General features: G+C 45.4%; 3 protein-coding genes and 2 long non-coding RNA genes across 14 annotated transcripts in view, besides 3 other annotated features; 3 read left to right on the forward strand and 2 right to left on the reverse strand.

Moving 5' to 3' along the window:
* HCG17 (HLA complex group 17) overlaps positions 1 to 2,457 on the reverse strand; it is a 92,096-nt gene extending 89,639 nt beyond the window's left edge. The window contains 1 exon segment of the long non-coding RNA NR_052012.1: positions 2,332 to 2,457. This is a non-coding gene — a long non-coding RNA (HLA complex group 17).
* Positions 1 to 3,479, reverse strand: part of HCG18 (HLA complex group 18) — a 39,760-nt gene extending 36,281 nt beyond the window's left edge. For 3 of the 4 annotated variants that reach the window (NR_024053.2, NR_102326.1, NR_024052.2), the window contains exon 1: positions 2,677 to 3,479. This is a non-coding gene — a long non-coding RNA (HLA complex group 18). Of the gene's footprint in view, positions 1 to 2,473 lie in introns of all 4 variants that reach the window. The other variant, NR_102327.1, reaches the window with a different exon arrangement.
* Positions 1,286 to 1,929: an enhancer, noted in NCBI's record as "NANOG-H3K4me1 hESC enhancer chr6:30292740-30293383 (GRCh37/hg19 assembly coordinates)". NCBI's record gives its function as "activates a minimal SCP1, AML or CMV promoter by ChIP-STARR-seq in naive H9 embryonic stem cells {active_cell/tissue: H9 hESC(naive)}" and the evidence as "EXISTENCE:reporter gene assay evidence [ECO:0000049][PMID:30033119]".
* Positions 2,792 to 20,052, forward strand: TRIM39 (tripartite motif containing 39). Of its 5 annotated transcripts, none has more exons than NM_001369523.1 (9): positions 2,792 to 3,318; positions 3,975 to 4,019; positions 5,212 to 5,364; positions 5,634 to 6,093; positions 7,104 to 7,199; positions 12,068 to 12,298; positions 16,231 to 16,253; positions 16,828 to 16,943; positions 18,035 to 20,052. In NM_001369523.1, exons 4-9 carry the CDS (start codon positions 5,641 to 5,643, stop codon positions 18,580 to 18,582), a joined length of 1,467 nt encoding a protein of 488 aa, NP_001356452.1. In that variant the 5' UTR covers positions 2,792 to 3,318; positions 3,975 to 4,019; positions 5,212 to 5,364; positions 5,634 to 5,640; the 3' UTR covers positions 18,583 to 20,052. The 5 variants fall into 5 exon arrangements, with proteins under 5 accessions (NP_001356452.1, NP_067076.2, NP_001356451.1 ...); NM_021253.4 differs by lacking the exon at positions 3,975 to 4,019 and adding an exon at positions 16,595 to 16,684; NM_001369522.1 differs by lacking the exon at positions 3,975 to 4,019 and having other exon boundaries at positions 2,792 to 3,210.
* Positions 5,167 to 6,366: an enhancer, noted in NCBI's record as "BRD4-independent group 4 enhancer chr6:30296621-30297820 (GRCh37/hg19 assembly coordinates)". NCBI's record gives its function as "activates an origin of replication core promoter dependent on BRD2, P300/CBP, MED14 and CDK7 cofactors, and independent of BRD4, by STARR-seq in HCT116 cells {active_cell/tissue: HCT116}" and the evidence as "EXISTENCE:reporter gene assay evidence [ECO:0000049][PMID:35650434]".
* TRIM39-RPP21 (TRIM39-RPP21 readthrough) lies at positions 5,634 to 23,181 on the forward strand. The gene is made up of 10 exons (NM_001199119.1): positions 5,634 to 6,093; positions 7,104 to 7,199; positions 12,068 to 12,298; positions 16,231 to 16,253; positions 16,828 to 16,943; positions 18,035 to 18,219; positions 21,621 to 21,721; positions 21,814 to 21,896; positions 22,755 to 22,880; positions 23,036 to 23,181. Exons 1-10 carry the CDS (start codon positions 5,641 to 5,643, stop codon positions 23,131 to 23,133), a joined length of 1,512 nt encoding a protein of 503 aa, NP_001186048.1. The 5' UTR covers positions 5,634 to 5,640; the 3' UTR covers positions 23,134 to 23,181.
* Positions 16,630 to 17,829: an enhancer, noted in NCBI's record as "CDK7 strongly-dependent group 2 enhancer chr6:30308084-30309283 (GRCh37/hg19 assembly coordinates)". NCBI's record gives its function as "activates an origin of replication core promoter dependent on BRD2, BRD4, P300/CBP, MED14 and CDK7 cofactors, with strong dependence on CDK7, by STARR-seq in HCT116 cells {active_cell/tissue: HCT116}" and the evidence as "EXISTENCE:reporter gene assay evidence [ECO:0000049][PMID:35650434]".
* On the forward strand, positions 21,479 to 23,180 carry RPP21 (ribonuclease P subunit p21). 3 transcript variants are annotated; one of them, NM_001199120.3, is made up of 5 exons: positions 21,479 to 21,551; positions 21,621 to 21,721; positions 21,790 to 21,896; positions 22,755 to 22,880; positions 23,036 to 23,180. In NM_001199120.3, exons 1-5 carry the CDS (start codon positions 21,495 to 21,497, stop codon positions 23,131 to 23,133), a joined length of 489 nt encoding a protein of 162 aa, NP_001186049.1. In that variant the 5' UTR covers positions 21,479 to 21,494; the 3' UTR covers positions 23,134 to 23,180. The 3 variants fall into 3 exon arrangements, with proteins under 3 accessions (NP_001186049.1, NP_001186050.1, NP_079115.1); NM_001199121.3 differs by having other exon boundaries at positions 21,814 to 21,896; positions 22,755 to 22,887; NM_024839.4 differs by having other exon boundaries at positions 21,814 to 21,896.
* Positions 23,182 to 23,422: the final 241 nt, after the last annotated feature.

Genomic DNA, 23,422 nt, shown 5'->3' on the forward strand with positions numbered 1-23,422 from the left:
CTAAAGAGATATGTACAAGGATGTTCTCGACAGCCTTTATTTAATAAGATGTGGAAAGAACCTTAAATGTCTACTCAAAATTGTTGAATAAATCACATGTCTACAAAATGAATAATGCAGACTTTAAAAAGAGTGAGGTAGCTCTATGTCACCAAACTGGAACAATAAAAGCCACTATAAAGTATAAAAAGCAAGCTGAAGACTGTCTCTATGTTTGAAATTTTTCATAATAAAAAATGAAAAAAATGGAGGGGGATTAGATATATTGCCTTTTCATGAGTAAGAATCTCACAAGTCTTGGACAATTAAACCCCGCCTTCATCCCTCCCATCTCATCATATCTGACCTCAACCAGTTTCCTACCTACACTGCTTATATGCCCATTTGCTCTATATGACTCAGTCATTTCAAGATTGCTTCTGTTTTCCCTTATTGATATAAAAATATTAAAAATGTATATTTAAAATTTGTTTAATTACATCCCATTATTACAGTTCATTTTTGCATATTCCTGTGTTGAAAATCCTTTGGTATAAATCAACATCAAAACTCGGTGTTATTCCACTTTTCTTGAACTGTAATCCTTTTTAAACAAGGAATATACCTTTTCTTGTTTAGAGAATATACGTACATTCATAAATCTTGGCAACTTTCAAAGGCCATAACAAATTTGTGTTAAGAATTCAGATCCCCTTTATTATTGTGGTAAACAGACAGATGAAATTAAGAGATTATAGCTTGTTTTCACTCTCTCCCAATTACTATCGCTTGAAAAATACCGGATATTTCATTATTATCCTGTCCGGAGTCGGCAAACTACGGTCTACTATCTGTCTTCGTATACGTCAAAAGCTAAGAATGGTTTTTACATTTTTAAATGACTGGGGAGGGAGGGCCAGAATCCAAGGGGAGTATTTAATGACACTTGAAAATGTTATTAAATTCAAATTTTAGCATCCATAATAAAGTTTCATTGACACACAGCCATGCTCATTTAGCTTTTGTTTGTTTTTGGAGACAGAGTCTCGCTCTGTCGCCCAGGCTGGAGTGCAGTGGCGAGATCTCGGCTCACTGCAACCTCTGCCTCCTGCTTTCAAGCCATTCTCCTGCCTCCGCCTTCCAGGTAGCTGGGATTACAGGTGCGCGCCACACGCGCCACACGCCCGGCTAATTTTTGTCTCTACTAAAAAGTAGAGACAGGGTTTCGCTATGTTGGCCAGGCTGGTCTCAAACTCCTGACCTCAGGTGATCCACCCGCCTCGGCCTCCCAAAGTGATAGGATTACAGGCGTGAGCCACCGCGCCCAGCCTTCATTTAGTACTGTCTAATGATGTTTTCATACTGCAAGGAGAAAGCTGAGTATGGACCACAAGGCCAAAAAGATGTCCTCTCTGGCTCTCTACAGCAAAGATTTGCCAAGCCCTGTTATATGTCATACTACTTGCGCTTCATAATTTTATAGTTTTACCTAGACAGTCTCCCTTTTTTCCTTCCATATTCAGCATAAAATCCCCTTAATATCAGTCTCTAGGCAAGCACATTCTTCACAGTCCTTAGAACTGGACCTCCTCTTGTTAATTTCCTTAGTCTAATCACATTCCTCCTGGTTATCTACAAACAGAAAGCCAGAAAGGAGGGCTATCAACATCTTAAGCGCCACAAATTAACAAATCAAAACCAAATCTCTCTCTCCCTCCGAAGCCACGGCTAAGGAGGCTCACTGCCCAGTTAGTGGCTTTCAAACTACCCTTACAAGTGAGACATCTTGTGAATTAGAACAAGTGCTGCTGCTAAAATCCCTAACGGCTACATAGCAATGTGAAAAAAGGTATCAAATGTAATTTTCTCAAATTTAATCTTCTTCAATTCTTGGCACAAAAAAAGGAACAGTAAAGGTAGACAACTGTAATTAGCATGTGTGATCCCAAATCTTTATACCTTAGATACTGGATTATATTTTCAGCAAGTAAATAGTTTCTGGCTCCCAAGATGAGAGGTTAAATAATGCAGGGTGTTTGTAAACAGCAGCACAATTTACACCGGAAATTAGGGCCCTTTCTCACCGAGGAGAGTACAGCAAAATCTGCTCATCTCTTTCAATGAATATTCTCCATGACTAGTGCTGGCGGCGGGGAGGCGGAGCAAGCTATCTTTTCTACCAGCCGTGTCACACCCCTCCTAGCACTAACCCCTCCTCCTCAGCCTTTTCACACCTCTACCCACTACTAGCCCCTCCCCAGCCCCATCACCTCTTCCCGGGCCCCTCACACCTCTCCCAGCATACTCTTCCCCAGCCTCATCACCTCACCCACTTCCTCCAAAATCACTGACCTGCTAAGCTTCCAGCAGCAGGCGGGCAAAGCAGGGAGGCTGTAATGCAAAAGTCCGCAGTCCCTACACAAACACTATCTGCTCCTGCGGAGAAACTCAAGTCACAGCCCCAGAAGTGGAAAGAACAGGCCTTGGCTCTCACCCAGTTAACAAGCGTTTATCCAGCGCACGTGTTGCGGTCGGACCCCATGCGAAGGAGCTAAGGACACAAAGGTGAGCAGCAGAGACGCGGTTCCAGCTCTCCCCCGGCTCCCACTCCAGCGGGATAGGTAGATAATTTCGGTAAATTTCGCCAAGCAGGGGCAGGACAAAGAGTATTTGAAGTCTACCGCGGGGAGAACTTACCTAATCCTTGAATGTTAAAAGGCTAAAAACTCCACTAGTCGGAAGTGACGTGCCAGCTTAGCCCCGCAGGTCCGCCACGTAATTGGCCGCCGCCACAGCTAGCCACCCTCTCCCCAGACTGGCCCGAAGAGAGGAAAAGTGTGGAAGTCCACAAGCCGCCCCCGCCCCGCCCTCTTCGTCGACTTTCAGCTGCACCGGGAGGCGGCGGCGCCTGGCCAGAGCCGGGGCCTGGAGCCTGGACTAGACAGCCTCGCCGGCCGGGGCGCCAGTCCAGCGCCCTGCGGGCAATGGGCTTCAGCGCTCGAGCACGCGCATGCGCGGGCCTGTATCTCCAGAGGATTCCTCGGGTCACCTGGACGCCAGCATCTCAGCCACCTGCCCCTCTGGGTCCCTTCTTGCCCTTGATTCCCCCTGCTGCTTCTCATCGCCAGCCCTCCTCCTCCTTCTTCCGCAGGCACCGCTAGACCCGGCCGCGGCCGCCCGCCGACACCCCAGCTTCCACTGACACGAGCCTCGGCGCGGCTTCCGCTTCCGGCGAGTATTGTGTGTCGCGCCGCGGGGCGGGGGCGAGGGGAGGAGGAAGGAGGGAGGCAGCGCTCCGGCGGCTCCGCGCCCCGCACTCCCGGACCCGAAGCCGGGAAGGTAGGTGCTGTCCCGCCGCCGCGCCCGAGCCTGGGGCCTGCGCTCGCCGGCCGGCTCCGCAAGCCGCGTCCCAGCGCCCCGCGACTGCGTCACCGGCCCCCCGCACGTAACCACAGCTGCCTCCGCCCGCCTCGGGCCCGGGCGGACGTTTTGCCGCCCCGGCGACGTCAGCGCGTCCGGCGTTGCTTGGCTACCCCGCCGTTCCCCCGTCCCGCTGCTGCTCACCTCCCCGGGTGAAACTCTGACGCAGTCACCGCGGGTCTCGGCAGCGTCATAGCGGCGGGCATCCCATCTGCACGTCACACCTCTTTCTCACCTGGACACGCATCCCTTCCTACCCTGCCAGCCACGACGTTTCCTCTTTCCCCTCTCCAATGCCCCAGCCCCAGATCTGGCGGAAGAAGATGGAGAACGGGGGTGGGACAGAGTTGTGGACAACCTCTCAGGAGAGGGTCGCAAGGTGGGACCCTGAACAGTGGTAGAAACAAAATGAGATTGTCCCTGAAGTTTGCCCTTCAGCTGAGACACAAGGAGTAGAGGAAGAGGAAGGACTAACGCAGAGGCACTCAAGGTCTCACTATGACTGTAGTTGAGAGTCCTCTCCCTTCTTCCCTAACCCTTTCCCCATTTCTCTCACCACTTCTTTGCCAGTCTAGATCCGTCCTGGTGCCTTACTGTGCATACAGTTCTACTCGTCTCAGGTGAGGAGGCCACTTAATTTGTAAAAGACTGAGGAAGGGGTAGGATCACCACAAGTCAAAGTTGGATTCCCACAGATAGAAATCATCTGACTGAACTTCTCTCCTATTGCTGACAGAAGAAATTCAAATCCAAAGAAGTTATCAGTTCCTACTCCAAATCAAACACATTTGTGTGTGCCAACAATATATACAGGAACAATTGTTGTTAACCTACCTCATTACATGGCCACTTATCTCTCAGCACATAGATCTACCAAATTTCCTTCCTTCCAGTAGGTCCCTGGAGAAGGATGGGGGTCGGGAGGAGAAAAGGTTATGGGGATAGTTAAATCAACTTACCCATGGCTAAAAGTATGGATGTTTTAAGGATGGAGTAGGGGGCCAGCCTTGTGTTTTATAAATCTCTCCTATGCATTTCCAATTCTTCTGAGGCTGCGCTTGAGGGAGATCTCATTGCCTCTTTTGTGTCTCTTAATTCGCAACCACTCCAGGACCTATAAGTTGGAGACACACTATGCCCAGGGTGTTAGTTATCAATAGCTATATTGAAAGATTCCAGTCACTACAAATAGACTCGTTGCTCTCTTTTCAAGAAGTCGTTGGCCTGAGCTCAGCAATATTTAATATGGTTGCCATAATTTATCAGTTTTCAGCAGTTCTGAGTGTCCAGATGAACACAAGAGAAATGGAATGTTGCGTGAAATGTCATTCCAAGAAGAGAGCAGATTTCCTTTAGGCTAGTCTGATGGATAAAAGGAAGAATAATTTCAGATTTTCCTGAAAAGAGGAGGTTGCCTTTGCCTCATTCATTCCATTTGTTAGCCTTTAGAGCAGTGGTATCTAACCCTTTCAATATGAGGACTCTCTTTGCTTATCTGTGGTGGCTGATAAAAATTATGCATGGACCTTCTGTGGTGGTGATAGAACAAAAGTTATGCATGGACTTTTTTTTTTTTAAGCTTATCAGCTGTCATTAGTGTCAATGTATTTTATGTCTGGCCCAAGACACTTCTTCCAGTGGGCCCAGGGAAGCCAAAAGGTTGGATATTGTGATTTAGAAGAATGAGAGAACAGTGTCAGAGAATCAAGCTTAGACTCCAGTGGATTAATCATAAAGCTCTTATAACATTAAACTTTAAAATATGGTTAATTTAAGAAATGTTAATATTTTTATGACTTTTTTACTTCTCAGATTCCTTTCTTGTCTGTTAGAAACGTATGTCAAACGAGGATACAGTGTCTGGAACTATTGGTTCTAAGATATAAGTGGAATGAGCCTGGATCAGGAGAAGTATGCTGAGCTAGAGTTGAAGGAAGCTTCTCTTTCTAACAAGAGAAAGCAGAGGTAAGAGACAAGATAGATCAATTGGGGGTTGTGTGTCAGTTTACTAACAAGAAAAAAAAGGTTGATGGCTGGGAGTCACAAGTTTTGAAAATGGAGAAACAAAGAGGTTGAATTGATTGGAAGAGAAGATGGAGAATAACAAGAAGGGGCAAATCTGGAGTTAGGACTTAACATAGGGATAAATGTCGGGTCAGGGATGCAAAAAAAAAAAAAAGAAAAAACCTCCAATTAATATTTTTATTTTCTCTGTCCTCTTCCCCACTCCCAAGTTAAATTATGGCAGAGACAAGTCTGTTAGAGGCTGGGGCCTCTGCAGCCTCTACAGCTGCGGCTTTGGAGAACTTACAGGTGGAGGCGAGCTGCTCTGTGTGCCTGGAGTATCTGAAGGAACCTGTCATCATTGAGTGTGGGCACAACTTCTGCAAAGCTTGCATCACCCGCTGGTGGGAGGACCTAGAGAGGGACTTCCCTTGTCCTGTCTGTCGAAAGACATCCCGCTACCGCAGTCTCCGACCTAATCGGCAACTAGGCAGTATGGTGGAAATTGCCAAGCAGCTCCAGGCCGTCAAGCGGAAGATCCGGGATGAGAGCCTCTGCCCCCAACACCATGAGGCCCTCAGCCTTTTCTGTTATGAGGACCAGGAGGCTGTATGCTTGATATGTGCAATTTCCCACACCCACCGGGCCCACACCGTTGTGCCACTGGACGATGCTACACAGGAGTACAAGGTGGGGAAGCAGACACACGATGTCAGTGTGGGTAAAAAGGGAGAAGCGGCAGAGGATGAGATACTCCCTAGGTAGAGATCGTAAGCTCCTACTACTCACTTTGTATTCTCAGAGCTGCATATGCAGGGGCACACAGTATGTGTGATCAGTTGTCCTCTAGCCTGAAAAAGAGCAATGGTGAGAAGTGCCCTAAAATTTCTCTCTGACTTTTGCAATACATGTGAGTCTTATGGGTGAATATTGGTATGTGTGGTCATATTTTTCATAAATGAATGAAACCACATGGAAAAGATTAAACTTAGGAAGAACTGAAAAGTAGTCTGGTTTCTTCATTCTGCCTGCCTGCTCAGAATGCTCCTTGTTTTCACACTGGTTATTGGGCATAGGTAATATCGCTTGAGACTGATACCTACCGGACTAAGCTGAACCATTCAATTGTTTGCAGCTTCTCTAGGTAATGGGTAACATGGCATATCATTTAACTTACTGCTGAGACAAAGGAAAATGTTTGAATAAAGGGAACAGAGATATGAATGTGTTAGCATTTTATCATATACTTTGCTTAGTTATGTTACTCTTGAAAACAAGATTTCAGGTAACTTACAGTATAATAACCATGTTTTTATTGTAGGTGGACAGAGGTGGATGGGAGGACAGGTTTAAAGAGAGATATTAGGGTACAGAAGGTTGCTTGGATGGTAATAGGCAGTTGCCTCAGTAAGAAAATGGAAAGAGTTGAGAAAGGACACAGAGTTGATGACAGCTATCTCAGATTCAGTAAAAGGACAGTTGGGTGAGCAGAGAAGGTGATGTGGACAGGCTAGTGGCAGGAGGAGGGACTGTAGAAAGTTGACATCCCAAATGACAGGCAAGGAAGGAAGTCAGATCAAGAGGCAGTAAGATGGCTAGGAAGCAAATAAATGGTTTAAAACAAATGGTTTAATCTCTGAATGGTAGGTATACCAGTCAACCCCAAATGTCACCTCTCCCACTTCCTCCCTACCCCTCAGGAAAAACTGCAGAAGTGTCTGGAGCCCCTGGAACAGAAGCTGCAGGAGATCACTCGCTGCAAGTCCTCTGAGGAGAAGAAGCCTGGTGAGCTCAAGGTAAAGGCAGGCAATCCCATGTAGGCTGCTCTGAAGGGTATTTGCCTATGAGGGAATTAACTGTACACTATTTAATCCACCAGTTCCGGTTCATTAGAAAAATGCAGTTCTCGCCGGACATGGTGGCTCACACCTGTAATCCCAGCAATTCTGGAGGCCAAGGTGGGCAGATTGCTTGAGCTCAGGAGTTTGAGACCACCCTGGGCAACATGGTGAAACCCTGTCTTTACTAAAAACAAAAAATTAGCCGGGCATGGTGGCACATGCCTGTAGTCCCAGCGACTTGGGCGGCTGAGGCAGGAGAATTGCTTGAACCTGGGAGGCGGAGGTTGCAGTGAGCCAAGATCACACCATTGTACTCCAGCCTGGGCAACAGAGCAAGGCTCTGTCTCAAACAAACAAAAAAAACAAACAAAAAAAAAAAGAACAATGTAGTTCTCTCAAAAATGATGGCATTTTATTAGGCTTGATTGTCATTAAACATTGTACTTAAATTACTTGTCATGAATTAAGTATTAAGAGGGATTTAAGAGATGAAGAACAGACAGAATATCTTACATCTGGTGAGCTGAGAGAGTTCGTGCCTCTTGGTCTCCTTTTTTTGTTAAAGCAGCAAAGGAGGCTTTCTGCTGAGAAGGCAGGGATGGGAGTTTCTTAGAGGACTTGAAGAGAGGAGAATATGGAAGATTCACTGGGGAGAAAGGGAAAAGGAGCTGACCAAGAGTCTCAGAAGAACTATCTAATGACATTAGGACCACATTCTTAAAACTCAAGTAAGCTTACATATGCTAGAATGTTCTCCCCCTCCCCATCCTCCACCATAGGATCTTATTCATCTCTCAGGCGGGATGAAAGCCACTTCCTATGCAGCCTTTCCTGACCCTTCAGAAATTAACATTCTTAATTTTCATACAATTTTGCACCTCTTTTATAGCATTGCCTTATTTGTAGCATGGTATTTTGGTGTCTGTCTGTCTTCCATTGAACAGTGAACAATTATCATTTGTAGCAAAAATAACTAGAATTGAGTCCTATGCATTAATTCATTAGGTATCCGTAACATTCCAGATTTATAGGGTTGTTAGGGTCTTAGAGTTCAGGCCAAATTGGGATAAGTGAGACATAGAAAAGCTACGAGAAAGAGACAGAAGGAAATCCTGAGGCCATCTTTAGTAAGATGTAGGGGTAAACCTAGATATTCTTTAAGGTAGGTATTATTACCTTCAGCTTACACAGAAGGAAATGGACCTTGGGTAAGTGACTAGTCCAAGATCATAAAGCCAGTAAGTGGCAAAACCAGGAATACTAGTTCTTCGTGAATCAGTAAATATTTGTTAAGCTCCTGGTTTAGGCCAAACCCGGTATTTGACACTGGGGAACAATGATGAGCAAAAACACAGTTCCTGCCCTCCTTGAGCTTAAAGTTAAGTGGAGAAAATAAGTAATGGCACAAAATGCACAGCTGCAAGTTCATAAGAAGACAACATAGAAATTTGGCCTCATTAAAGGTTTCCCGAAGAAGTAATGAGTTTTTAAGAGTTGACATGTAGAGATCACCAGAAGCTAAATCCAAGTTTTGATTCATAGAAACATGAATTTTTAAATGAATGATAACATTTCATCAGAAAGCAAGTATTATTACCTTAGTGCCTTATACATTTTAGCAAAGTAAGCATTTGAAATTTTAAAATTTGAACCAATTTTGGTTAGAAATGTGAACTTTTAAAGTTTTTTGTTCTTTTAGAGGCCTTCCAAGAAACCTAAAAATATGAAAATGGTGCTTATTGCTAGTCATTAACTTTCTTCTTCATGTTGATCACCTTCTTGAAGGTAAAGGATGGAGAGAGAAATATACCTTTTTAAAACCTTCTAAATGCTTGAACAGAACTGTCCTGTTTTTTAAACTGTAAATTGTCATTTCAGTGGTCTCCAAAACTACCACCAACATTCCTCTTGTGACCATTTGAATTCTCCCTCCTTCTCCCTCATCAGACTCAATGCCCCTTTAAAAAATAATTTGTAATTATGCTGAACTGAAAATTACAGGTAATATAACCTATGTGCATAATGTTAAATTTTAAAGAGTCTATCATGTCCAAATATAATATAATGAAACATAATTGATGATAAAATGTGGTATGTAATATTTGGGCATGACTACCCTGAACGACTTTACAGTGTAGCTGGTTATATGCTTGCCCCTATATGTGTCATTATCAGCAACGCCATAAATACAAATTCAGACTGAGATGGATGTGTGCCAATATGATTGAAATACCATAAGTAGCTTAGCTCTTGGTGATATGATTTTTCATAGTAATAACTTTTGGTAAAGTTCTAAGTATAACAATATAATCTTGGGTTTTATTCAGCTATTGCTGAAAAATTCACGTATAGTAAAACCATGTAAGAATTACTCTGTGTTTATACTATATAAAATGGCATTCAAGCCCAGGCCTATGTTTTTGTTTTTGTGGTTTTTTTTTTTTTTTTTTTTTTGAGACGGCGTCTCGCTCTGTCATCCAGGCTGGAGTGCAGTGGTGCCATCTCGGCTCACTGCAAGCTCTGCCTCCCGGGTTCATGCCATTCTCCTGCCTCAGCCTCCCAAGTACCTGGGACTACAGGCGCCCACCACCACACCCAGCTGATTTTTTTTTTCTATTTTTAGTAGAGACAGGGTTTCACCGTGTTATCCAGGATGGTCTCGATCTCCTGACCTTGTGATCTGCCCACCTCGGCCTCCCAAAGTGCTGGGATTACAGGCGTGAGCCACCGTGCCTGGCCGCCCAGGCCTGTGTTTTTGAATATCCAGCAGAACATTAGAAAATGTTGCAGGTCAGTTCACTATGCCGGATTGTCTCACACATTGGAGGAGTGCTTGCGTCATTGTCAGGAACTTCCCCAACCATGGAAAACAAGAAGATGTGCCTATTTCCAAAATATCCTCAGAGTGTGTTAACAGCTTCATCAAGAACCACTGCCCTAAAATATAGAGTGAAAAAAAGAGAAAAGATTACCGGTTTATAAGAGGAAGGGCCTTTTTGCTTCCTATTTATCACAGTCATGAATGTTAAACTTACACCCATACCTAAACAAACACACATGCATGCACACACATGTGCAAACACACACACACAAAGGCTGTGTTTTATTGAGGGCAAATGTGAGAATATATTTTGTTCAGATGTACACTGAGAAGGCAGTGGTGGAAAGTGAAGCAGCAAGTGGCCCTAAACTAGAAGAGCTAGTCAGCCTCTGCCAGGAACTAGCTTGAATCCACAAATGCCACGCTTGTCAGGCCCATCCTGGCTTTGCATCCCCACTCTCTCTCCACCCTCAAGCCTGCCTTTCATTCCCTATCCACTTCCTTCTAGAGTCCCAGTCTCTGCTTCTCACTTTGCTTCATCATCAGTCACATGATGCTTGGGGAATTCTTTAGGGAGATCACTATTTGTTGTAGTGGAGATGCAGAAGAGAGGATGTGCTGATAATTCTCAGAAAGTGTTATGGCTGGTGTTTGAGTCCTATATTATCAAATTTCAGGAATGTTAGAGGCTTAAGTCTGTGTGCTGGCTTAAAGAAAGCATGTTTCAAATTTCAAGAAACTAAATTACTAACAAACTTCTGTAACCTGTTCCTGGGGTAGGAATTGCCAGTTCTCTGAAGTGACTTGAAACAATTTAACAAGTTCAGCCCTGAAATCTACATATGTATATTTTATAATAACCCATATAACTCTTACTGATTCTTACACTTTCCCAGTTCTCTGGTTTTTATCTGGTGCATGTGTTGCAATATGCAAAGGATGACAATCTTATTTTTAACTTTTTATTATTTGTACTTTCCTTTTTGTTTCGTTGTTTTTTGTTTGCTTGTTTTGAGACAGAATCTCACTCACCCAGGCTGGAGGGCAGTAGTGATCACAGCACACTAACTCAAACTCCAGTGTTCAGGCCATCCATCCTCTTGATTCTTTTTGAGTAGCTAGGACTGCAGATGTGCATTGCCATGCCCGACTAATTTTTTTTTCTTTTTAGTTGAAACAAGGTCTCACTATGTTTCCTAGGTTGGTCTTGGCCTCAAGTGATCCTCTCACCTGGGCCTCCTAAGCACTAAGTTTACAGGCATGAGCCACCATGCTGAGCCTATACTTTCCTTTTCTCGACAGATTGAATTAACTAGAACTTTACAGTTGATAATAACACAGATATCTCTGATATCTGTAATAGTTAATGTCATCATATTATTGAGTTCTTTATCTTAAATTAAAACAAATATATATATCCGCAGTGGTCTTCACTACCAAGTCATCAGTAGGGGGGTGATAGTGATGGAGCCATTCTTTACAGAAGGAAATTCCAATGGAATAAAAAATGAGTGTTCTGTTAAACCATTTTCTCTCATTTTCTTTCTTTCTTTTCTTTCTGTCTTTGTCTTTCTGTCTTTCTTTCCTGTCTGTCTGTCTTTCATCTCGATCTGTTGCCCAAGCTGGAGTGCAATGGTGCAACAATTTCAGCTTACTCCAACCTCTGCCTTCTTTGCTCAAGCCATCATCCCACCTCAGCCTCTCCAGTAGCTGGGACTACAGGCATGCACCACCAGACTCAGCTAATTTTTTGTATTTTTTGTAGAGTTGGGGTTTCACCATGTTACCTAGGCTGGTCTCAAACTTCTCATCCCAAGCAATCCACCTCCCTCGGCCTCCCAAAGTCCTGGGATTACAGTCATGTGTCACCACACCCAGCCTTTGTTAAACCATTTTCAATGAAACTGGAAGTCTGTGTTAATTCATACATATGGTGGGTGAGAGAAAGGCTTCCTTATACCACACTGACCCTGCTGATACAACATCTTCCCTCTCTTCTCAGAGACTAGTGGAAAGTCGCCGACAGCAGATCTTGAGGGAGTTTGAAGAGCTTCATAGGCGGCTGGATGAAGAGCAGCAGGTGTTGCTTTCACGACTGGAAGAAGAGGAACAGGACATTCTGCAGCGACTCCGAGAAAATGCTGCTCACCTTGGGGACAAGCGCCGGGACCTGGCCCACTTGGCTGCCGAGGTGGAGGGCAAGTGCTTACAGTCAGGCTTCGAGATGCTTAAGGTTCGACCTTTGCCCCTGCATAGCCCCTCAGGCTGAGTGCAGCGTAGCTTTGCGTAGCCTGGGATTTGTCAGCCTGGGATACTCATTCTTCTGCTCTCCTTCTCTAAATCCAGTTCTTTCTGCCAGGTGTACTCAAAGGGTCTTTGCTACGGAAAAGTGATTTCTCCCATCCCCTTCTAACCATTTTTGTGTTCTTATCTCTGGTCAGCAATTATGTGCTTAATCTGTTCCAAAGAAAAGATTCATTCTTTTGAAAGGAGGGAAGTCTAGCCTGAGTTAGTGAAAAACTATGCATTAAAAATTTTGTAAATGCAGTTACCATTACTTTTAAGTCCTGAAATTTGATTTATGTACTGCTGAAAAAGGACAGAAACATAGTTTAAAGGATACAGGCATACCTCAGAGATATTGTGGGTTCAGTTCCATACCACTTCAATAAAGCGAGTATCTTGATAAAGCAAGTCACATTAATTGTTGGGTTTCCTAGTGGAATCATATTTTTGCTGGTGGAGGGTCTTGTGTTAGTATTGACTGATCGAGGTGGTGGTTGCTGAAGATTGGGGTGACTGTGGTAATTTCTTAAAATAAGACAACGACGAAGTTTACTTTCAACTCTTCCTTTTATGAAAGATATCTCTGAGCATGTGATGCTGTTTAATAGCATTTTACTCACCAGTAGAACTTCTTTGAAAATCTTTGAAAACCCACATTTGCAGTTACTTACAACATGGGAGTCTTGAACCCCTAAAAGTCATCCATAAGGGTTGGAATAGACTTCTTCTAAATGCCTGTTAATATTGATATTTTGGCTTCCTTTCACAAATCACAAATGTTCTTAATGGCATCTAGAATGGTGAATCCTTACCAGAAAGCCTTCAATTTACTTTGCCTAGATCTATCAGAAAAATCACTATTTATAGCAGCTTTATGAAATACATTTATTAAGACTTGAAAGTCCAAATTACTTCTTGATCCATGGGCTGCCGATTGGATGTTGTGTTAGCGGACGTGAAAACAACATGAATCTCATTTTACATCTCTATCAGAACTTTTGGGTGATCAAGTGCATTGTCAGTGAGCAGTAATATTTTGAAAGGAATCTTTTTTTCTGAGCAGTAGGTCTCAACTTAAAATTTTCAGTAAAGGGTTGGGCACGGTGGCTTACACCTGTAATCCTATCACTTTGGGAGGCCAAGGCAGGTGGATCACCTGAGGTCAGGAGTTTGAGACCAGCCTGGCCAACATGGTGAAGCCCAATCTCTACTAAAAATACAAAAAAATTAGCTGGGCATGGTGGTGGGCGCCTGTAATCCCAGCTACTCGGGAGGCTGAGGGAGGAGAATCGCTTGAACCCGAGAGGCAGAGGTTGCAGTGAGCCAAGATCATGCAGTTGCACTCCTGCCTGGGTGACAAGAGTGAAACTCCATCCCCCCAAAAAAAACTTCAGTAAAGGCTAGGCACGTTGGCTCACATCTGTAATCCCAGCACTCTGAGAGATCAAGCCAGGAGGACTGCTTAAGGCCAGGAATTCAAGACCAGTCTGGGCAATATAGCAGGACCCCATCTCTACAAAAGGTAATTTTTTTTAATTAAAAACATTCAGTATACCATGCTGTATACAGGTGTACTGTCATGTAGGCTTTGTTATTCCATTTCTAGAGCACAAGGAAAGTAGATTTAGCATAATTCTTAAGAGCCCTAGGATTTTTGAAATGGTAAGTGAGCACTGGTTTCAACTTAAAGTCACCAGCTGCCCTTGCTTCTAATAAGAAAGTCATCCTGTCCTTTGAAGCTTTAAAGCCAGGCATTGACTTCTCTCGAACTGTGAAAGCCCTGGATAGCACCTTCTTCAATAGAAGGCTGTTTGTTGACATTGAAAATGTGTTGTTTAGTGTAGCCACCTTCATCAGTAATCTTGGCAAGATCTTCTGGATAACTTGCTGCAACTTCTGCATCAGCACTTGCTGCTTCTCCTTGCACATTTTTGTTACAGAGATGGCTTCTTTTCTTAAAACAACCTACCTAACTTTAAACTTTTCTTCTGCAGCTTCCTTACCTCTCTCAGCTTTCATAGAACTGAAGGAGTTAACAGCCTTGCTCTGGATTGGGCTTTGGCTTAAGGGAATCATGTGATCTTATATCCAGATCACTAAAATTTTCTCCATCTCAGCAATAAAGCTGTTTCACTTTCTTATCATTCATGTGTTCACTGGAGTAGCACTTTTAATTTTCTTCAATAACTTTTCCTTAGCATTCACAGCCTGGCTTGGTGTTTGGCACAAGAGGCCTAGCTTTCAGCCCATCTTGGCTTTCAATGTGCCTTTCTCACTAAGCTTAAACATTTTTAGGTTTTGATTTAAAGTGAGAGACATGTGATTCTTCTTTCACATGAACACTTAGAGGCCATTGCAGGATTATTAATTGATATAATTTTAATATCGTTGTGTCTCGGAATAGGGAGGCCAGAGGAGATGGAGAAAGATGAGGGAATAGCTGGTAGTGGATCAGTTAGAACACATAAAATATATTTATCGATTAAGTTGTTCGTCTTATATGGATGCAGTTCACAGTGCCCCCATAACGATTACAATAGTAACATCAAAGATCACTGATCACAGATCATACTAGATATAATAATGAAAAAGTGTGAAATATTGTGAGAATTACCAAAATGTGACACAGAGACATGAAGTGAACACATGCTGTTGGAAAACATGGTGCCAGTAGACTTGCTCAACACAGGTTGCCACAAACCATCTATCTGAAAAACATACAATGTCAACAAAACACAATAAAGCGAGGTGCAATAAAATGAGGTATGCCTGAAATTGTTTAAATAATATATTGCTTTTGATATGTATATATTAATAATACCTCTAAAGTGTTTGAAATATTTTGTTCTCTTACGTAAATGAATGGTGTTAGCAAAACTAGGGAACATATTTTTTATCTTAGAGATTAGATTACCAGCATTTGAAGCAGTGAGGCTTCATTGTACATTTATTTTTATGTTACGTATTGCTTGGTATTTGTTCCTATGGCCTTTCATGTATGTGTGTTCTGCCTTCCATATTAAACTGGGAAATCCTTGTGGGACAGAGATTTGTCTTCTTTGTCTTCTGGACCCCAAGTATTCACAAATCAGTATTAGCACACAGTTATTAATGTGTTTATTCTTCCTTTTTTTTTTTTCTGAGAGAGTCTTGCTCTGTCGCCCAGGCTGGAGTGCAGTGCATGATCTCGGCTCACTGCAACCTTTGCCTCCTGTGTTCAAGCGATTCTCCTGCCTCAGCCTCCTGAGTAGCTGGGGTTACAGGCGCACACCACCACACCTGGCTAATTTTTGTATTTTTAGTAAAGACAGGGTTTCACCATGTTGGCTAGGCTGGTCTTGAACTCCTGACCTCAAGTGATCCACCCGTCTTGGCCTCCCAAAGCGCTCAGATTACAGGCGTGAGCTACTGTGCCCAGCCAGTTATTGATGTTTATTAACTAATGCAAGACAGGGGATACCAAACCGTAACAGGAATGTGTGATTTGTTCCTATGCCACCAGTCTGGAACTCTCTGTACTTATCCTCAAGGAGAGTGAGATATGTGGTTGGTACTTGGGGGACAGAGTAAAGAATTGATACAATCCCTGTCCCTTATAGGGAGCTCCCAGCATCCTTGAGGAGCAAAGACAAGCATAAAAGAAATCATTGGGAAGTGATATAAATGACCAAGCTTCATGATGACCAGAAGTTGAAAGTAGGGATTAGGTTGGGAGAAGTGCATTCAGGTCCCGCTGGAGCTCTTCTTGCACTGTGTGACCCTCAGTTTATCCTATCCCTATTTTATAGCTGTGGAACTTTGGGGAGGAGGGGGAACCTTTTGCCTTCAGGACCACTGAATACCAGGACCAATATTGCTTTCTTTTCTCCTTCCTTCTAGGATGTCAAAAGTACCCTGGAAAAGTAAGTGATTGTTGTATCTCTCTGAGTGAGTTAGGTCTTGGCTTAGAGAGGAGGGGTACAGTCAGGAGTTTGGGTTGGGGGTGAGGTTGGGAAAGTCATGTAGTGTGTCTGGGCAGGGTATGGGAGAATGTTCATTGTGCCCATGAAGCCAGTTAGAGAACAAATTATTGGGAATAATAATCCCTTTTCCCCTTTGAACATCAGGACTTCTTGAGAAGGAGAATGATAAGGTAGAATCAGATTCTACTTGTGCCAGTGGGTGGAATTGTGTCCAAACAAGATGGCAGGAGGAAGGGGTTGGGAGAGCAGGGAGGGCAATCATCCATTTGCATGAAATACAGGAATATTCCTAGAAAGTTCGGAGGCTCACTCTCAACGATCTGTCCACGGGATCATAAGGCTCTCCTTGGATTAGTAAAAGAAATCAACAGGTGAGCTTTTCAGGGAGGAGGAAGAAAGTGGGAAGATGGAGAATTTTAATTTCTCCCTAAAAATGTTAACATCTGAATAGTCACTTGGCTGGAGCTTCTCCCTAACCCTGCCCTTTCTTCCCCTATCTCCCTATCCCTCCTAGATGTGAAAAGGTGAAGACCATGGAGGTGACTTCAGTATCCATAGAGCTGGAAAAGAACTTCAGCAATTTTCCCCGACAGTACTTTGCCCTAAGGAAAATCCTTAAACAGCTAATTGGTGAGTTGTTCCCAAAAGGAAACTAGAAGAAACCACTAGAGAGAAGAAAGTTTTTAGGTCCTACCTTATATGGGTTTCAGTTATCCTATGTCTCACTTTTCTTACTCCCACACACACCTACCCCTTTATCTGGCTTTTAGTCTCACCCTGAGTCACAGAACTTGGAGTGAGAGGAAGCCTTAAGCGTTATCTACTCTTAGGTCCATTCTTTTCTAAATAGAGACCCAGAAAGGTTAAATAATTTGCCAAAGTCATCGGGTAGAGTGGTTATATAATTTACCATGTAAACTTGCATAACCTTCAAAGGCCGGGTGCGGTGGCTCACATCTGTAATCCTAGCACTTTGGGAGGCCAAGGCTGGTGGATCACTTGAGGTCAGGAGTTCGACATCAGCCTGGCCAACACGGTGAAACCCCATCTCTACTAAAAATATAAAAATTAGCCAGATGTGGTGTTGGGCGCCTGTAATCCCAGCTCCTCTGGAGGCTGAGGCAGGAGAACTGCTTGAACCTGGGAAGCGGAGGTTGCAGTGAGCTGAGATCACACCACTGCACTCCAGCCTGAGGGACAGAGTGAGATTCCATCTCAAAAAAAAAAAAAAAGAAAGAAACTGAAAGGGAGTGTCATTATATTAATGTGAATATGCAGGGAAAATAGTCATAAACCAGGCCAGTTCCTGGAAAACACACATGGTCACCCTATCCCTAGACCATATGCTGTCTTGCTCGGCATCCTTCTTAACACTTTCCGTTTTTTTCTGCCCCTCAGACTACACCTTGTACTTCTCTACATAGTGAGATAAATGATAATGTCAGAGGGAGATGAAGAGAGGACCAGGCGGGAACCTAGATTACCAGCCACTGCAGACTCAAGAGATTATTATCTGTTTACTTTAGGGTCAGGGTGAGAAGTGAGCCATTGCTTTCTCCCCTTCCTTAGGTGACACCATGGATTGAGAAAGTTAACCAAACCAGGTTGTTCTGGGGACCTTTAAGGGACCAGGCTCTGTAAAGGCAGGCTGGAAGAGTGAGGCAGGGGCATTTAGCTATTCCCATCCTCATCTAGCTCCCCACTCTGGCTTCTCCCGCCAGCGGATGTGACCCTGGACCCTGAGACAGCTCATCCTAACCTAGTCCTGTCAGAGGATCGTAAGAGCGTCAAGTTCGTGGAGACAAGACTCCGGGATCTCCCTGACACACCAAGGCGTTTCACCTTCTACCCTTGCGTCCTGGCTACTGAGGGTTTCACCTCAGGTCGACACTACTGGGAGGTGGAGGTGGGCGACAAGACCCACTGGGCAGTGGGTGTATGCCGGGACTCCGTGAGCCGAAAGGGCGAGTTGACTCCACTCCCTGAGACTGGCTACTGGCGGGTGCGGCTATGGAATGGGGACAAATATGCAGCCACCACCACACCTTTTACCCCTTTGCACATCAAGGTGAAACCCAAGCGGGTAGGCATATTCCTAGACTATGAGGCCGGCACACTGTCTTTCTACAATGTCACAGACCGCTCTCATATCTACACCTTCACTGATACTTTTACTGAGAAACTTTGGCCCCTCTTCTACCCAGGCATCCGGGCTGGACGGAAGAATGCTGCACCACTTACCATCAGGCCCCCAACAGATTGGGAGTGACAGGTTGGGATGTGGGAATGACTGGGGTGAGGCAGGGTCAAGTGCTACGGGCCTCCTTCCCGTGTCCTGCTGGAACGTCTTCGTGTCCACCTGGGTCCAGTCCTGAATCATCTTGGAGAAACACCTTGGTTTCTAGGATGGTTTTGTGTGGAGGGGGAGGTAGGACTGGGCTGGATGAGAGAGCACAGCTGTGACTTCCTCCTAACTGTCAGGGTGGGGAGCTGGTTCCCAGAGGATTGTCTACCCTGAAGTCCATCAGGTTTTCTGTTGCACAAGGACGGGTCAGGAAGGAAGGAGAGGCTTTTCCAGAAACAAAAAATCTGTGAGGGTCTGACTTGCTCAAACCAGAGGAGGAAACAGAAACCCCTGCACATCTTTTTAGGGGGTTCTTTGACCCAGGATAGTCTTGCTTCTTGAGGTAGATCACAGGGGTCTGTGTACCTCTGAATTCATGAGAGATGAATGACAGATGCTCTCATGGGTCTAGATATTGAGGAGTTTTTCTGAGGGCAGAGATTGGACATCAACAAGGCTAGAAGGGTCAGGGAAGTGGGCTAAAGGAACAGATTCCTAGAGATTAATGAAGAGGAGGGAGGTTTCTTTGGTCTTCTATTCCAAGGGTAAGGTTGCGATTATGGGTAAGATTGGCCAGAGGTAGGAATGTGGGGAGAAGGAGAGGCTGAAAAGAAAGCAGAGGAGAACCCAGGTCCCTGCCTCAGCCTTCAGCAGAGTTGGCTTATTGCCTGCCTCTATACCAATAAGTCAGTCACCTTGCTCCTCTCCAGAGGCAAAGTGGAAGAGATCCTGCAAGACACATCTATCCTTTCACAGTGTTCCCAAGGGAACTTGGAAAGGAGAGTCAGGTATTAGAGGAAAGAGAAGGGTATTTGTATACAAAGCCCTGGCCTTAAAGAATGTTACTTAGTAGCTACTCCCAAATTGTCAGCCTTCTTACCTGGCCAAGGTGTCCAAGCCAGAAAGGAAAAAAGGTTATGGAGTCTTTCTCACCCTAAGGACAGGGTGGAAGAGGGTGGTATATAGGGAAGGGCCAGATAGGCAACTTCATTTGGCTTGTGTGCATCTGGCCTGGAACTGGTGTTAAGCCAGGCTTTTGCTTGTTTGTTGCCATCCCTCACCCTTTGCCATTTCCCTTTTCAGAGAATGTAAATGATTTTCATGTTAGGCCAAAATAAACAACTTATAGGGTACATATGTTGTCATAAAAGGTAAAAGTGATGCATGCCAAACCAAACTAAACCAATTTGGATTATCTGCTATTCGGGTAATCTTCACAGAAATGACTGAGAGAAGAATCTGCAGTTTACTGAGGGCATTTCAGTTCCTCCTACCACCTCAACAGGACTTTGTCCAGACTCTCCTCCTCTTACCTTTGTGCCTTGACTGTGGTTCTTTGTGGCAAGATACTTTGGTTGGTTAAAATAATATGGAACAAAGGATCCACTGAAGTGATCTCTGTGTTGTGTGGTAATTTGGTGACAGCCTTGTACTGATGTGTAAGAATCACTGGGTGTTAGACATGCATGTTCCTGGGTCTCACCCTTAGTGGTTAGTCAAGGTCTGGGGTGGGCCGGACATCTACATTTTATTTATGAGACAGAGTCTCGTTCTGTCGCCCAGGCTGGAGTACAGTGGTGATCTCAGCTCACTGCAACCTCCGCCTCCCAGGTTCAAGCAATTCTCCTGCCTCAGCCTCCAGAGTAGCTGGGATTACTATGGACTATAGCCATGCACCACCACACCCGGCTAATTTTAGTGGAGACAGGGTTTTGCCATGTTGGACAGGCTGGTCTCGAACTCCTGAACTCAAGTAATCTACCTGCCTCAGCCACTCAAAGTGCTAGGATTACAGGTGTGAGCCACCGTGCCCAGCCTACATCTACATTTTAAACACACCACTCTCATTTGAGTCCGAAAACCCTTGTGAAACTAGTTCCAGAGGAGGTTTCAGCCATGTCCTTCCTCCCAGCTGGAGCCCTGCTTGTCTGTCCCCGCCTGGCACTGGGTCTGAAATTGGAGAGAAGTCATCCTCTCCTGACTTATGCTGCCCTCCCCATCTCAGGGTTCATTGATCTTCTACCCCTCCAATTCATGTCCCTCTGCTTCTGACTTCAGTAACTGATAGTCACTATGAGTCACAGGACACCAGACAGAAGAACTGGAAGATAGAAGAGGTCAGAGGGAGGGGTGTGAGGTGAATGTCAGTGTGGGGAGTGGGGTGAAGTTTCAGGGGCAGGGGATGCTGTTGACAGATTTCTGTGCTGTACCTAAGCCTAGGAGTTAGAAACCATTCACTCAGAAAGTGAGGATCACCTACTGTGTGTCCAGCACTGCATAACAGGAAGTGTGTTTCTTTGGTAGGTGGAATAGTAGGAGTAAACTGTGCTTTCTGAGGACCGGGAGTCCTTTTCCCTCCCTCCAGCACCCTCATGATCCTTCCCACTTTCACCCCCACTGGCACCAGTGCTTTTTTTTAATGTATTACCTCTGTGCCTTCCGTCTGTAGATCTTACAGGCATCTGCCTCGGACCTCAGGAGAGTAGGGCAGAAGCTCTAGCTGGGTATAAATTGCACATAACCATCTCCCCAACGTAGCTACATAAAGAGACCAGCCTTCTGTCCTGAAAATGGCCGATTTAAGATCCTCACCTGCTCCACTAGGTCTCTAGGTGATATAATTGGTCATGAGCTTGAGGAAGACAAAAGCACTGAAAATTCATAAAGGGACCCTGGGCATGGATTGCTGGGGTTGTGTTTAGAAACCGATGAGTTTGTGAGGCCTCCGGGAGGCTCCCGAGGGCGCGGGGACTACGTTTCCCAGGAGGCCTCGCGCGGACGCCCGGGCGGGGCTGTGCGAGGGGTGGGGCTGCGGGAGGCCCTGGAGCGCGGCGGTGATGGCGGGGCCGGTGAAGGACCGCGAGGCCTTCCAGAGGCTCAACTTCCTGTACCAGGTGAGTCTGCGACAAGGGCCCCACGGGGACGGTGCTCGGCGTCCCAGAGTGACTGCTCCCCTCCCGCAGGCCGCCCATTGTGTCCTTGCCCAGGACCCCGAGAACCAGGCGCTGGCGAGGTTTTACTGCTACACTGAGAGGACCATTGCGAAGCGGCTCGTCTTGCGGCGGTGAGACAGCCACGGGGCGGGCGGCGGGCGGGACGCGGGAGGAACGCGAGAGGGAGCGCGGGCGCCAGACCACTATCCTCCTCCGCCCCCAGGGATCCCTCGGTGAAGAGGACTCTCTGTCGAGGCTGCTCTTCCCTCCTCGTCCCGGGCCTCACCTGCACCCAGCGCCAGAGACGTGAGTGCTCCAACGGAGGTGGAAGACTGCGGAGCATTGGGGGCGCGGAGGGGGGCGGGGTGGGGGGCGGGCACTGGAGGCCAACAGCGCCTTTCTCACTGTAGATGGATGTTGGGTGTGGGATTCGCAGGAGTCTTCCTTCTTCGGGTTTGGATTAAGTTCCTAACGCCACTTGCACAAACTAGGGTTTGGGCTCGGCTGTTTTTTTTTTTTTTCTTCCAGTGTGGGCAATAAATAATAACTTTTAAGAGGCAACCCCACCCATGCACAATAATAGATGTTGTTCGGCTTTGTGGAGGACGATTCCCATCACCATTCATTTATTAAGCAAATACTTATTTTCTAAAATGTGTCAGGTACTGTGCTAGATTCATTATTCTCATTGAAATTACGGTCTGATGGGACAGACTAAGAAACAAAATGGTGTAGAAAAAGATTAACTGGGGGAGTAGAATGCTCACTTACTCATGCCAGTGGTGGCGAAGTTTATGATAAGCAAAGGGAGTGAGAGATGGAAATTCTAGGCATGTGTGCAGACTCTGAGACAAGAGAGCTTGTGGTGCTGTCAAAGAAATGAGAGTTCAGGAGGCTGGAGTTTGAGGTAGGAGGGCAAAACATGAGACTGGAGGGGGAAACAGGCCAGTTCTTGAAGTCTTGTTAGGGAGTTTGAACTTTATCTTAAAGAGTTCCAGGAAATCGATGGAGCTTATGCCGAGGCCTGACACCATCAAATGTGCATTCAAATTGGGGGTGTGGTGGGGGAGCGGGGATACCTACTGAAAAACACTGGAGGCAAAACTGGCAGCAAGAGACCGTTACTTCTAAACGTGGACAGTCTTTTTCCCATGTTCACCCTAGGCTGCAGGGGACAGCGCTGGACCGTACAGACCTGCCTAACATGCCAGCGCAGCCAACGCTTCCTCAATGATCCCGGGCATTTACTCTGGGGAGACAGGCCTGAGGCCCAGCTCGGGAGCCAAGCAGGTGAGAGGTGAGGGAGAAAATGGAGGACACCCCAGAGGATAGGGACAATGGAGAACGTAGAGTGAAGAGGACACATGGACAGGTTCTGGGTTGGTGTGAGAAGTACCACAGTCAGAAAACTAATTCTGTTTCTCTGATTCTGCTCATTTACTCAGATTCCAAACCACTACAACCCTTGCCAAACACAGCCCACTCCATTTCAGACCGCCTTCCTGAGGAGAAAATGCAGACTCAGGGTTCCAGTAACCAGTGATGGATTCACCCCATCTCCCAAATAAAGTTTACTTGTTTTACATTCCATGATTCTGTTCTGTGGGTATTTCAACTCTTAATTCCATTTTCTTCTGTTTCTGTCTGTGTTTCTTGGTCACCTTTGTAATCCCACCATGCAGGGAGATCGTGATTTCCATAGACCACTTGGCCTCACTCAGCAGCTTGCATTTCCAAGGCCATGGCCCCAGTTCCCTATCAATGTCCTGAGCCACCTTAGGGCATTCCATGTTTGGGCAGCCATAATTGCTGACTGAAGAGCTGGAGAGAAT

Source organism: Homo sapiens, chromosome 6 (genome assembly GCF_000001405.40).
Source record: "Homo sapiens chromosome 6, GRCh38.p14 Primary Assembly".
Lineage (NCBI taxonomy): Eukaryota > Metazoa > Chordata > Mammalia > Primates > Hominidae > Homo > Homo sapiens.